This window comes from Homo sapiens, chromosome 4 (genome assembly GCF_000001405.40).
Source record: "Homo sapiens chromosome 4, GRCh38.p14 Primary Assembly".
Lineage (NCBI taxonomy): Eukaryota > Metazoa > Chordata > Mammalia > Primates > Hominidae > Homo > Homo sapiens.
Window position 1 is genome coordinate 174,606,133 of NC_000004.12, and position 15,164 is coordinate 174,621,296.

The following is a 15,164-nucleotide window of genomic DNA, read 5'->3' on the forward strand; positions in this document are numbered from 1 at the left end:
TCATGTCTCCCTAAAATGTATAAAACCAAGCTGTGCCCTGACCACCTTGGGCACAAGTCATCAGGACCTCCTGAGTCTGTGTCATGGGCATGCATCCTCAACCTTGGCAAAATAAACTTTCTAAATTAACTGAGACCTGTCTCAGATATTTGCAGTTCACATTTTGGTAACCACGAAGGGATTCTGAGTGAAGGTGCCCCTGACCTTTGACAAATCTCCTATTGGTGCTTGGTACCAGCTTGAGCTATCTTTGTGGGTCTAACCAATAGGACAATTTGCTGAGGCCTGGAAGTGCTCCCTCCAGAGCATCCCTGATCTTCCAATATTTGGTCAAGATCTAAAGTTTATTGCTGTACAACTCTTTTTTTTTTTTCTTGGAGTTTTACTTGTTTCCAAAACAAGGAAGGCAAGTTTTTCCTGCTTCCATGACAATGGAAGGCAGGTAACTCCTGTATGGAGTTTGAACTCACTTCCAAGAGGAAAGACAAATTTGAGATTTTCCTGCTTCTAGGATGGTAGAGAGCAGTCTTAAGTCTGAGACCTATCCCTGGGTGAGTAACTGAATTGGTGTTTGTCTTGGCTAAAGTTAAGATTTTAGCCAAGACAAACCAGCTGATCTTAATTTCACCTTACCATTAACACACTCCGTAATCTTACAAGTTGCGCCATTGTTTGTTTTGCTTAATTTTTGTTGTTGTTGTTTGCTTGTTTCTGTTTTTGTTGTTATTTCCATATTTTCTCCATTGGGTTTGATCAACTCTGACTTGATCAAATACAAAGGAAAGTTCCAAATTATGAGGAACAAGGCCTCTGAAGTGGCTAAATTCCCATAAGAAAACAATGACAACAACAAGGTGGTGTGGTCGGGGGCGGGGGGAGAAAAACATACAGCAAAAGGAAAACAGAAAGGAGAGATTCTGCTTTTGATTACTCGAGGGGCTTTATTTACATAGCAATACCACCTTTTTGCTAGCCAGGCCAAACTGAAAGAGCAATGGCTGTTGCCCCATGCTGCAGTTCCATAGCTAAGAGTTCTGCCTTCTATTTTTCCACCATGACAGCCTGGGTTTGGTGCCTAAATCAAGCCCTTTCTGTTTGGATACTTGGCACTTCTGAAACAGCAGCAATTTGTCCGAGCTGAAATATGGTAAATAGATTAAAACATTTTTTTTGAAGGAGCTCAGTGGTTAAAAGTCAGCTTAATTAAAAACTAACATCCAAAATGTGTGTGCGTATGTCTGCATGTGTGTGTTTTTGTATTTAAAAGGCCTTCACCTTTTTTATTTTGTGTGCGTGTGTGTTTTGTTTTTTTTTTTTTCTCTTAGGACTTTGTCTTTTTCATCTCATTTGACTGAATTATGTTTCCTTCATTTACTTCTGCTGTCTCTCCTTTCTCTTGCACCCTGTGCTGCATGAGGGACCTAAAATAGTTTATAATAGCCTGGGGTTCCTTAAGGAAAATGGAGAAGGTGCCAGACTCTCTTTTGGGGAAAAACCACTGTTTTTACTTATGGAACTCCAAGAGTGTTTTCCAAACAGACAAGTTCATCTCAGCTCTTAAACTGCTTGCTTTTGTATTATGTTACCGGATTTTTTGACTAAAATAATTATTGCAATAGAGGTTACTCTTGGGTTTTTAAGGAAGTAAAGTTTAGATACTTGTGTTACCTGATTTTTTGACTAAAATAGTTATTGCAACATAGGCTATACTTGGGTTTTTAAGAAAGTGAAGTTTAAACAAATGTTTTTGTTTAAAAAAATTTTTTTAAAGTGCACTGTAAAAGCATCACGAGGTCTAGCTTCATAATAATTCTCCCTTTTTAGAGATCCAGGATTCAGTGTGGACTCTGCCCAGAGTTCAGAGATCCAGTTAGAAGATAGATAGTCCCTATCTAAATAAAATTGTTCTCCTCATGCAATCCTGTGATAGATTTCTACAATTTTATGTTTGATTTAGCATCTATCTTTAATCTCCCTGTAGCATCACCAGACCTTTTTTCTCTGTACCTTGAGATGTAAATTTTGCTAATCTGATTTTTAATCTAAGAGTTGTTTCCTTCAATATGCAAATTTAGGGCTGTTTACCTGACAACTGCCAGGATAATGAATCAGTTTATCAAGAGTTTGCAAGTCTAAGATACGGAAAAAAAAAGGAGGTCGTAGGAATTCATAAAGTGTATTTTTATCATTATGCCTAACACATCTATGTATTTGTGTGTTCTCTACACAATATTTCACTACTAAAATATATAAAAGAGCTCTTATTAATTGGCTTCAAGAAAAATAAAAGTCCTTAAATCAAATACTTCATCGGAGAAAAAGGAAAGACTAGTCAAATGCTTTTTCAATTTTATGTGACTTAAGTAAAATCTTTAATAAATAAGGTAGCTTAAAATTATTAGTAAAGTAGTATTAGAAATGTCTTAAAAATTATTATCAAGCAATTGCATACTTATCCCTGCCAAATACTATAAGGTGTCAAAATTTGGCATAGGGTTTATAAAACTATAAACACAGCCCAAAATGGAATGATCTTTCTTGTGTAATTTTTAATAGATAAGATATTGATATTGGTTTAATGAAAATAGCTACATCTCAAATTATTTAATAAAATTACCACAACCCATAATCTTCTGGCTTTAGGCAGTCCAGACCACAGGCAATAAGGAGGTTTGTTTGTAAGAGGACTGTTACCATCTTTTTTCAAAGCTAAACTATAAACTAAGTTCCTTCCAAAGTTAGTTCAGCCTATGCCCAAGAATGAACAAGGACAGCTTGGAGGTTAGCAGCAAGATGGAGTCAGTGAGGTCATATCTTTTTTAATGTCTCAGTTATAATTTTGCAATGGGGAGTTTCATAACTTTAAATGATGCCTATCACAGTTTTCATAATCTTGGTAAATGATTAAAATAAAATAATTAGGTAAATGTAATGGGATAAACACTTGTAAACAAACTTGTCATAATTTAGAATCAAAATTTATATTAAATTAAATAATATATATTTCATTATTTGGGTATTTTCCAATAAAAATATATTGTAGGAAAACATTCTGTCTAAAAAACAAACAAACAAACAAAACCCAAAAAAAGTTAATATGATCAAGTTGTCTATAATTAAAGGGATTTATAGTGGTCTTTCTAGAGATTAAATTTGATGATAAAAACACTTATACACAAAAGAATTGATTAGAACAATAAAATTTTCTTAAAGGATTGATTTACTCTTAATGAATTATAAGAGATTTTAATTTGTTTTAAACCCAAAGTTCAACTTGTATTGTTTCTTGATGTTTTCTGTTTTCTCTTCTCTTTTAGAAAGTGCGAAATAGTAATGCTCTTCTTCAACTTATTTTCAGATCATAAAAGTTTTTATTCCTTCAAGTTCTATTCGCTGTGGGCTGATGCTAGCAACGTTTTCTTTCTCTTTTTTTTTTTTTTTTTTGAGACTGTGTCTTGCTCTGTAGCCCAGGCTGGATGGAGTGCAGTGGTGAGATCTAGATTCACTGAAATCTCCACCTCCCAGATTCAAGCAATTCTACTGCCTCAGCCTCCTGAGTAGCAGGGATTACAGGCATTTTCCACCACGCCCAGCTAATTTTTGTATTTTTAGTAGAGACAGGGTTTTGTCATATTGACATGCCTGGTTTCAAACTCTTACCTTAGATGATCTGCCCGCCTCTGTCTCCTAAAGTGCTGGGATTACAGGCATCAGCCACTATGCCTGGCCTAACAATGTTTTGTTAAAGGCCTAAAGGAAACGTTTTCTTTCAACATAATATTCTGTGCACTGCAGGTCTTTTCCTCTGTCTTTTGATAACTGGCCTAATAGATTTTATGTTTAATCAAAGTAATTCCTATGCCATTATTATTAAGTTTTGGTTTGCCTAAAAAAAAAAACAGATGAAATTTTTTTAAAAATTAAAGTTGTTATATCCTTGTATCTTTCTGTATGTGCCTTTAAGGTTCTTGTGACATTGAGCTACAAGGATTTGACTCCTGAGTCTCAAAAGGACACCAAGTACTGCCAAATCTCAAACTCTGACAGCAATTAAAGCCTCATCTGCAGGCCCTGTAGAAGATGCCAATCAAAATAAACTGTGTTCCTGAGACACAGGGGCAGAAATTAAAGCTATTCAACTCCTCAAGGCCAAGGGATTATCATGGAAGAGGTGGGCAGGCGAGAATGTAAAGGCCAATTTTGAGAGATAAAGTAAATTCATTTTCTCTATAAATTAACTATTAACATCAAATGCACACTGATGAAAGACCAGCATATAGGCCCCTGTGTCAGAGTAACAAGGTTTTCTTGAAGCATGAATTAACTCCTTAATAAAAGCTATAAAGGCTATAAAAGGGAAGTTGTATCTTATGGGTCAAGATGAAAATTTTATAGATTGTTTATAAAATATTGGAAAACAAATATAATTGAATTCATGCTGTTTTTATTGGGGCTTATTGGCTGAAAAATTAAGTCTCCTCTTTCAAAGAATGAAGGTTTTTGCCATTTTTTGAAATCCTTCAATTACCATTTTGGTTAAATGAATGATTTATTTTACATTGACTTGTGATCCTATTTTGTGATATCAAGTGTTTTAAACCTTTGATATTTGACAAACTTTCCAAAATCAAATTATAAATTATGTATTTTTCTGACCTAATTAATCCTTTAAGATATTAGGTTCCCTAAAGTCCAAAAAATGACATATTTGTCTTATTTGGTGTAAAAATTATACAGGAAGCATTGTAAAATGTGAAATGGTGTTTGGTTTTCTTTGGGCTATATTTGTATAAATATGTTATTGGTATATGTTCCAAAATTATGAGAAACTCTTTAATTCTGATATGACTTAGTGTACATTACCAGTAATAATTATAATTGTTATATTAAATTATTGTATACCACAGAGGAAACAAATGTCCTTGTCAATTGTGTCTTTGACTATGTTTTCTCTAAAACATTTTGTCATCCATAGATGTATTAGTCAAGGTTCTCTAGAGGGACAGAACTAATGGAATATATATATGCATGTATGTTAATACTTAACTAACTTATGGTAAGTCTTAACTCACACCATCACAAGGTCCCACAATAGGCCATCTGCAGGCTAAGGAGCAAGGAGATATTCCTAGGATCAATACTTTGTATCCTTCAATTCAATCAAGTGAGCATTCAGTATTAACCATCACAATGGACAATTGCTTTTTTTTTTTTTTTTTAAGATGGAATTTTGCTCTTGTTGCCGAGGCTGGAGTGCAATGGTGCAATCTTGGCTCACTGCAACCTCCACTTCCTGGGTTCAAGTGATTCTTTTGCCTCAGCCTCCTGAGTAGCTGAGATTATAGGCACTTGCCATCATGCTTGGCTAATTTTTGTATTTATTGTAGAGATGGGGTTTCACCATGTTGGCCAGGCTGGTCTCGAACTCCTGACGTCAGGTGCTCTACCCACCTTGGCCTCCCAAAGGGCTAGGATTACAGGTGTGAGCCACTACACCCAGCCTTTGGTCCTCATTAGAAGCTGGTTTTATAATCACCTATAAAGCCCTAACAGGTTCTCTCGAATGCAGGTTTCTGATAACTATGGAGATTGTGACATCAGAATAGAGGAAAAACTTTCAGGTCTCACAGAGAGCTGAAATGTTCATGAATATCATGCAGAACAGGAATTACCTGCATGAACTGAACTAACAGAAGACTGAACTAATCTTTTTGACTTTTTTCTTAAAATGTTCTTGATCCTTCGTTTTGTTTTTCAGAGCCAAGGAAATTTTTTTGAGCTATTGACATCTTTTAACAAGTTACTATACTCCTATGAACAAAATTTGGAACATATTTGTTTCTCTCTACCTGATTTCTCCAGAATTTGGAAACTACTTGTGAGTATTCTTTATTTATGGCAATATAGTTATTTGCATAAGTGCAAGAAAAATCTGTTTTCAATTGTAACAGGACACAATTATAGAAACTGGTTATTTTACCAAGGTTTTGACTGAAATGGTGTGCTTTCCTTTAAGGAATCAAACTGGACTTATAGAGCAAATAAAAATCCCTTGGGAAAACTGGCCTCATACCTTGTCTACACAGTTCCTGTACAGGGTTCCTGACCAGTGGTAAGTAAAGAATGCCACTTTCTGACAGGCCCAGGAGCCCCAAGTTATCTTGGGGCCTCAGGGCCTGGGATGAGAGGGGCTGTAGTGAAAACCTCTGACATGCCCTGGAGACATTTTCCCCGTTGTCATGGGGATTAACATTTGGCTCCTCACTACTTTAGCGAATTTCTGCAGCTGGCTTGAATTTCTCCTCAGAAAATGGGATTTTCTTTTCTATCGCATTTTCAGGCTGCAAATTTTCTGAACTTTTATGCTCTGTTTCCCTTTTAAAACTGAATGCCTTTAACAGCATCCAAGTCATCTCTTGAATGCTTTGCTGCTTAGAAATTTCTTCCACCAGGTACCCTAAATCATCTCTCTCAAGTTCAAAGTTCCACAAATCTCTAGGGCAGGGGTAAAATGCTGCCAGTACCTTTGCTAAAACATAACAAGAGTCACTTTTGCTCCAGTTCCCAACATTTCCTCATTTCCATCTGAGACCACCTCAGCCTGGTCTTTATTGTCCATATCATTATCAGCATTTTGGGTGAAGCTATTCAACATGTCTCTAGGAAATTCCAAACTTTCCCACATTTTCCTATCTTCTTATGAGCCCTCCAGACTGTTCCAACCCCTGCCTATTACCCCGTTTCAAAGTCAATTCCACATTTTTTGGTATCTTTTCAGCAGTGCCCCACTCTACTGGTACCAGTCCATTACTGTACATTACCAGTCTATTACCAGTCCGTTTTCACACTGCTGATAAAGACATACCCAAGACTGGGCATTTTACAAAAGAAAGAGGTTTAATGGACTCACAGTTCCACATGGCTGGTGAGGCCTTACTATCATGACAGAAGGTGAAAGGCACATCTCACATGGTGGCAGACAGCAGAAGAGAATGAGAGCCAAGAGAAAGGAGTTTCCCCTTATAAAACCATCAGATCTTGTGAGACTTATTCAATACCATGAGAACAGTATGGGAGAAACTGCCCCCATGATTCAAATATCTCCCACTTGGTCCCTTCCACAACACAAGGGAATTATGGGAGCTACAATTCAAGATGAGATCTGGGGGTAGACACAGCCAACCCATATCACCATTCATGAGGGATCCACTCAAACACCTCCCACCAAACCCCACCTCCCACACTGAGGATCACATTACATCATGAGACTTGGAGTGGAAAAAAACATCTAAACCATATTATCAGGTTTAACAAAGAGCAGCAATTCTGGAAAAGTAACTAAATTATGTGGGGAGGCTAATGAAAGATAAGAATTATTTTAACAAAGTCTGTTTGTACAGAATTCTCTTGGCTATGATTCTCTGTCAAATATTTTTTTCTCCTGGTACAGAGAGGGCATTTTTTACATGGCAGTTTTTATCTCCTGTTTTTAGGAAGAAAAGAGAAGATTAGAATGTCCTTTTGCTTCTGCTGTTTATCAAGTGCCTTTATATGAAAAAAATCCTTATATCAAAGAGGTATATTGGGGGTAGGGGAAGCATATTCTTCCACCCTCCATTGGTTTATAAATATCCGTGGCTTACTGAAATCTTAACAATTAGACCATTTCTGTCCTTGTTATATTATTGGGCTCCTAAAGCATTTAGAACATCCTTCTTTTGACAAAGCTTTTTATTTAAGTCTATAATCTTATTGTAGTCTCGAAAGTCTCCTGTATCTGAAGCCCGAATATTCATTCTATTTACCTTCACATTCTTTACTAGGAATCTGAAGCCACCTTAAGGCAAAGGAATGACTTCCATGGAATACAGATGAAGTTGGTAAAAGGAAATACAAAGGAGAAAAAGTACATTTGTTCTGTTCTATGACTATTACTCTGATACACTGGTAATGCTATGATGATGGAAGGAACAAATAAATGTCTCAGGATCTTGATCTTCTGATAATAGAGAGGGAAGTTAACAGTTCCTGTATTTACAGGAACTGTAATAGAGAGGGAAGTTCCTGTATTTACAGGAAGAATTTTAGCAGGGTAAACTTCAAAACCAGTAAAGGCTTGCGTGTTGCTACCATAAAAAAGAACAAGAAAGCCAACCACAAAAATTAAACACTAAATTGAGCAAAGAAAGAAAAGGCAATATTACTACTGAAGTATTAGAGAGCACTCACTACTTCCCTATTTTACCTGCATGTATAACCTATGACGTTACTCATTTATTTCTCTGTATGTCATTTGAGAAGTGACTTATGGAGAGAGAATAGATAAAATAGCATTCCTTAATTAAATATGGTAGGATGCAACGTATACATGACTAATTTGGGATAATATTTCTTGTGTGTGTGTGTGTGTGTGTGTGTGTGTGTGTTTGATAGAGTCTCGCACTGTCGCCCAGGCTGGAGTGCAGTGGCACAATCTCAGCTCACTGCAACCTCTGCCTCCCAGGTTCAAGTGATTCTCCTGCCTCAGCCTCCCAAGTAGCTGGGATTACAGGTGCCTGCCACCACGCCCAGCTAATTGTTTTCGTATTTTTAGTAGAGATGGGGTTTCACTATGTTGGCCAGGCTGGCCTCAAACTCCTGACCTTGTGATCTGCCTGCCTCTTCGTGTGTGTGTGTGTGTTTCTTTTTTGTTTTTGAGACAGATTTTCACTCTTCTCACCTTTTTATATAAAGAAAATGCATCTGGAACATTTAGATCAGTTCTTGACCATATTAAACAAATCTTATAGAATTAACACAAACCATGTTATCTAAATCTTGGGATTTTGAGCCTAAAAGCCTGTGCCTTAATTTATAATCAAAGGTCAAAAAGGTCAGATCTATAAAGAGAAGGTACAATGATGAACACTAGGTGATTGCTTTGAAAACTTTCTTGCAAACGTAGCTTACTTGGGGATTTTTGTTAATATATCTAATTCCGTAAGCCTGGGTGAAGCCTTGGATTCTGTATGACTCAGGAGCCCTTGGGACACTGTAGTGCTCTTAGTGGTAGAGCACCCTTTGAGCAGGATACTGAAGAAGAGCTATTTGACTTGAATGGCCTGGCTGGGTTTCCAAATTTTCTGGGGTGTTCTTGGACTTCTATTTTTCTAATTCACTTATGTAGCATCGTGAAAAGTTTTCTGAATATTCTCATTGGAATCACGTTCAACTTCTAGGTAAATTTGAGAGGAAATAGAAATATTTACAACAGTGAATCTTCCTACTTATTAATTATGCCTTTCTCAAGATATATTCACTTTGTTTTATGTCCATCTGTTAGATTCTGTAATTTTCTGAATAGCAGTTTTGTACATCATTTTGCATGTTTTGTTCCTAGGAACTCTATGTTTATTGCTGGTATCACAAATAGAATCTTTTATATTATTATATTCTCTAATAGGTTATTGATGTTGTGCAAAAGCATCATTGACTATATTGATCTCTCTGCAGAGCTCCTGCTAAACTCTAACAGGTTGTCTATACATATTTTTGAATTTGTTTATGTAGACAAATGTTTACATATAACAGTTATGTCTCTTCTTTTTTTACCCTGCTATCCTTAATTTCTTTTACTTTTTTCTTTTATTGGCAAGGAAATTTCAGCGCAATGTTGATTTTTTAATAGTGGTAGTGACCATTGTTTGTTGCCTTCTCTTAATGGATTATGCAGTTGTTTCTAGAACATATAATATTATTTTCCACCTTGAGAAATTTTCTGATGCCCATTTCTCTGCCAGGAATGTTATTTTGTCCATAGTCCTCATAGAACTGTTTCCTTCACATTAATCATACCAAAGATTCCGTGCCAACCGTGAAAAATTGTTGATTCTTTCAGTATAGTGATAAAAGAACCAAACACAAACTAGCTAAAACAATTTAAGGGAAATTTATTAGCCTCAAACTAAAATGTGCAGAAGTAGATTCTTGCTGTCATCACAATTGTATTTGGTATTGATGGCTCCATTTCTTTCTAAATTCTTGAACAAATTCCCTCTAAGTTGCAAATTTGATAGCAGCCCACTTCTTACAAGCTAAGCAACTCTATTAGGATGGGAACTTCTTCCTACTTAAAGTTAAGCTTCCTCCCTGGTTGGCCTTGCTTGGCTATGTGCTCATCCTCAAACTAATCACTGTTGAGGAGAAAGGACTCATAATTCTCTCTCTGTGGTAGGCAGAGTAGGCCCCTTGACCAAGTCTTACCAAAATTTTCTAAGCACTGAGAACAAATAGTTCACGGATCCATGAGATGCAGCTGGATAGAGCAAAGCATACGAAATCCACTAAATTTGCTTAAAGACATCTTTCCTGACAAGCCCATTTTTAAATTCTGTATCTAAGCTCTTATAAACTATTATGTCATGAATCCTGATTTGTAATTTATTAATTTATGCTTCCTGTACTAGAATATAAACTCCATGACAGAAGGGACACTGCTTTCCTTGTTTACTGTTGCATCTCCAGGATAGAGAGTGATGTATGCTGTATGGGAGGAATTAAATAAATAAACTTAACTGAAAATATCAGGAATCCATAACAGGGAAAAATAACATTCCAGTTTGTACTAAGAGACGGTGATATTGAATATGATAACCTTAACTTCCTTTTGAAATGAGTTGACAAGAAAAAGTTGAAAATTGTCTTTTTGCTTCTCTTTTTTAAGAAGTCAGTTGCCAATTAGATCTACTTGCAGCCTGGAAGAGCTATGACTCACCGTGAACTTGAATGAATGAAGTCTTTAGGCTGATTTTTACACATAATGTCAAAGTTCTCTTTTTCTGGTCGTAGCTACACCTTGCCTTTTATAAGTATTAATTATTAATACATTTTCATACATGTTGTTTATTTGGTTTAAATTCTATCTCTGCCATTTGGGAGGCTGAGGTGGGCCCATCACTTGAGGTCAGGAGTTTGAGACCAGCCTTGCCAACATGGTGAAATTGTGACTATACTAAAAATAAAAAAAATAGCTAGGCATGGTGGTGCACGCCTGTAATCCCAGCTACACAGGAGACGGAGGCAGGAGAAGCATTTGAACCCGGGAGGTGGAGGTTACAGTGAGCTGAGATTGTGCCACTACACTCTAGCCTGGGTAACAAAGCAAGACTCTGTCTCAATAAATAAATAAATAAATAAACAAAGAGACAAACAAACAAATTCTATCTCTGCCACTTACCTGCTATGTTATCTCAGGCATTTTTTTCCCTCATTTCCAGTGGGGTTGACTATTTCTGGCATTTTACTCAACTTCTCTAAAAGCTTTCATTTTCTTGTCTGTAAAAATGGAGTCTTAACCTCTACTCACATTGTATCATAAAGATTAAATGAAATAATGTATTTTGAAAAACCAGTACAATACTTTTCAATAGTAACAATTAAAAATGATCATTATGATTTTATTTGTTTCTAGCTTTTTGATATAGAATATCTGTTTTGGGCAGAATGCATGCCAACCACAATAAAGGTGGCTGGATTTCCTTACCTGCCCTTCATATAAAGTTACCTTTGACATGTGCAGAGTAAATATAGTACCTTCCTGTGCCTTTAAGTTAGCAGTATTTTGCAGTTCCCTAAAGATCATATGGTAGAAGCAACAGTGACTAAGGAGAAAAGGAAAAAACAGGTTAGGACCATTTTCTCAAAAGGTGATAGTGCCAATGGCAGGCACCCAGGCTTCTTGAACTCACCTATGTTCACATTGTTAGTAAAGTAGCAGAAGGAAGGCATGCTAGGAGTTGAACTTCATGTTTTCCACTAACTATCCTAAAGTCAATCCTTCTAATTGTATGGAGTCCTAATTGAGAAAAAGAGTCAGGCTGGCTCCTTTCCAAGAGAAAGCAAAAAGAAGGAAGCAGATAAGCTATAAGTCTGCCTTTTTTTCATGGTCCAGGGCACATAGCTCTCCTGTGCAAATAACTAACAATCTTCCTGCACCCAGTTATCACCAGATCCTCGGCTGATAAAAAATACATGTTAGCTCACTGCAACCTTGGCATTATCAATACTGCACAAAACCCTCATTAGCACACAGCACAAGCACCCTATTCCCCAGCCAGCCTTTATCTCCTTGCAGTCAGCTCCTCTCTTGCTAGTCTGCCTGTTGCTCCCTTGTAATATATTTTCTTATCTTCTCTAATAAATCTGCCCTCCTTTACCTATTACTGTTTTGGTAACTTCTTATCACCTGCACCATTGGCCCAGATAGTCACCACTCACCTATGACAAACTGGCTTGTAAAATAATTTCTAGGGTTATTATATACCAATATATTATATAGGTTTATCATGAAAGATGGTAGTTTACCTTTGAAGTAGTATAAAATATGCCAAGCAAAAAAAAAAAAAAAGGTAGAAATAAACGCAGGTGTCTGAGCAGCAGGCACGGTCTGAGCTATCCAGATCTTTGTGACTGAAACTTTCCTTTAGGCAGGTCCACTCCTTCACCTAAGCCACATGCTCTCTTACATTCTTGCTCCCAGTGTCATGCCCTTGATTTGTCCTTCTAGAACTTTCTATGTGAAAATATTCAAAGTACAGTGTGAGGGGAGCTCAAATAGTAGGGGAATGCAGGACCCCACTTTTGTAGGGAGAACTTCATGAGATGTCAAAGCCCAGTAAAGTGAAAGGTAGCTAGAACTAAAGGGCTAGAGGGAGGCAAATATTGCTGAAAGCCTGCATTTAGAGACAGAGAATTGCAGGACAAAGGAGACACTTCATACAGGAGAGCTCTGGCTGGCATCTGGCAGGTGCACTCTGGGATGAAGCTTCCAGAGGAAAGATCAGGCAGCAATCTTTGCTGTTCTGCAGCCTTCGCTGCTGATAGCAGGCAAACAGGGTTGGGAATGGACCTCCAGCAAACTCCAGCAGACGGGCAGCAGAGGGGCCTGATTGTCAGATTGTCAGAATGAAAACAAACAAACAGAAAGGAATAGCACGTCCACTCAAAGACCCCATCTGAAGGTCACCAACATCAAAGACCAAAGGTAGATAAATCCACAAAGATGGGGAGAAGCCAGCACAAAAAGGCTGAAAATTCCAAAAGACAGAATGCCTTTTCTCTTCCACAGGATAACAACTCCTTGCCAGCAAGGGAACAAAGCTGGAAGAAAAATGAGTTTGATGAATTGACAGAACTCGGCTTCAGAAGGTGGGTAATAACAAACTCCTCCGAGCTAAAGGAACAGGTTCTAACCCAATGCAAGGAAGCTAAGAACCTTGAAAAAACGTTAGATGAACTGCTAGCTAGAATAACCAGTGTAGAGAAGAACATAAATGACCTGACGGAGCTGAAAAACTTCACTTCATGAAGCACGCACAAGTTTCAATAGCCGAATCGATCAAGTGGAAGAAAGGATATCAGTGATTGAAGATCAACTTAATGAAATAAAGAGAGAAGACAAGATTAGAGAAAAAAGACTAAAAAGGAATGAACAAAGCCTCCAAGAAATATGGGACTATGTGAAAAGACCAAATCAACATTTGATTGGTGTACCTGAAAGTGACGAGGAGAATGCAATCAAGTTGGAAAACACTCCTCAGGATATTATCCAGGAGAACTTCCCCAACCTAGCAAGACAGGCCAACATTCAACTTCAGGAAATACAGGAGCACCACAAAGATACTCCTCGAGAAGAGCAACCCCAAAACACATAATCATCAGATTCACCAAGGTTGAAATGAAGGAAAAAATGTTAAGGGCAGCCACAGAGAAAGGTCAGGTTACCCACAAAGAGGAACCCATCAGACTAACAGCGGATCTCTCGGCAGAAACTCTACAAGCCAGAAGAGATTGGGGACCAATATTCAACATTCTTAAAAGAATTTCAACCCAGAATTTCATATCCAGCCAAAATAAGCTTCTCCTTCATAAGCGAAGGAGAAATAAAATCCTTTACAGACAAGCAAATGCTGAGAGATTTTTGTCACCACCAGGCCTGCTTTACAAGAGCTCTTGAAGGAAGCACTAAACATGGAAAGGAACAACCGGTACTAGCCACTCAAAAAACATACCAAATTGTAAAGGACATCGACTCTACGAAGAAACTGCATCAACTAACAGGCAAAACAACCAGCTGGTATCATAATGACAGGATCAGATTCACACATAACAATATTAACCTTAAATGTAAACTGGTTAAGTGCCCCAATTAAAAGACACAGACTGGCAAATTGGATAAAGAGTCAAGACCCATCAGTGTACTATATTCAGGAGACCCATCTCACATGCAAAAACACACATAGGCTCAAAATAAAGAGATGGAGGAATATTTACAAGCAAATGGAAAGTAAAAAAAAGCAGGAGTTGCAATCCTAATCTCTGATGAAACAGACTTTAAACCAACAAAGATCAAAAGAGACAAAGAAGGGCATTACATAGTGGTAAAGGGATCAATACAGCAAGAAGAGCTAGCTATCCCAAATATATATGCACCCAATACAGGAGCACCCAGATTCATAAATTAAGTTCATAGAGACCTACAAAGAGACTTAGACTCCCATACAATAATAGTGGGTGACTTTAACATCCCACTGTCAATATTAGACAGATCAAGACAGAAAATCAACACGGATATTCAGGACTTGAACTCAGCTCTGGACCAAGCAGACCTAATAGACATCTACAGAACGCTCCACCCCAAATTAACAGAATATACATTCTTCTCGGCACCACATCGCACTTATTCTAAAATTGACTACATAATTGGAAGTGAAACACTCCTCAGCAAATGCAAAAGAACAGAAATCATAACAGTCTCTCAGACCACAGTGCAATCAAAGTAGAACTCAGGATTAAGAAACTCACTCAAAACTGCACAACTACATGGAAACTGAACAACCTGCTCCTGAGTGACTACTGGGTAAGTAAAGAAATGAAGGCAGAAATAAAGATGTTCTTTGAAACCAATGAGAACGAAGACACAACGTACCAGAATCTCTGGGACACATTTAAAACAGTGTGTGGAGGGAAATTTATAGCAATAAAAGCCCACAGGAGAAAGCAAGAAAGATCTAAAATGGACACCCTAACATCAAAATTAAAAGAACTACAGAAGCAACAGCAAACAAATTCAAAATCCAGCAGAAGACAAGAAATAAGGTCAGAACAGAACTGAAGGAGATAGAGAC

The 15,164-nt window shown here is 37.3% G+C and overlaps 1 long non-coding RNA gene across 1 annotated transcript, besides 1 other annotated feature; it reads left to right on the plus strand.

Annotated features, from left to right (window-relative positions):
• Positions 1-3,964: 3,964 nt before the first annotated feature.
• On the plus strand, positions 3,965-8,365 carry LOC105377549 (uncharacterized). Its single transcript, XR_939492.3, has 4 exons — positions 3,965-4,171; positions 5,759-5,878; positions 6,017-6,112; positions 7,824-8,365. It is a non-coding gene; the product is annotated as an uncharacterized LOC105377549 (long non-coding RNA).
• Positions 7,692-7,892: a silencer, noted in NCBI's record as "peak5150 fragment used in MPRA reporter construct". NCBI's record gives its function as "represses an SCP1 promoter by STARR-seq MPRAs in K562 erythroleukemia cells {active_cell/tissue: K562}" and the evidence as "EXISTENCE:reporter gene assay evidence [ECO:0000049][PMID:32103011]".
• Positions 8,366-15,164: the final 6,799 nt, after the last annotated feature.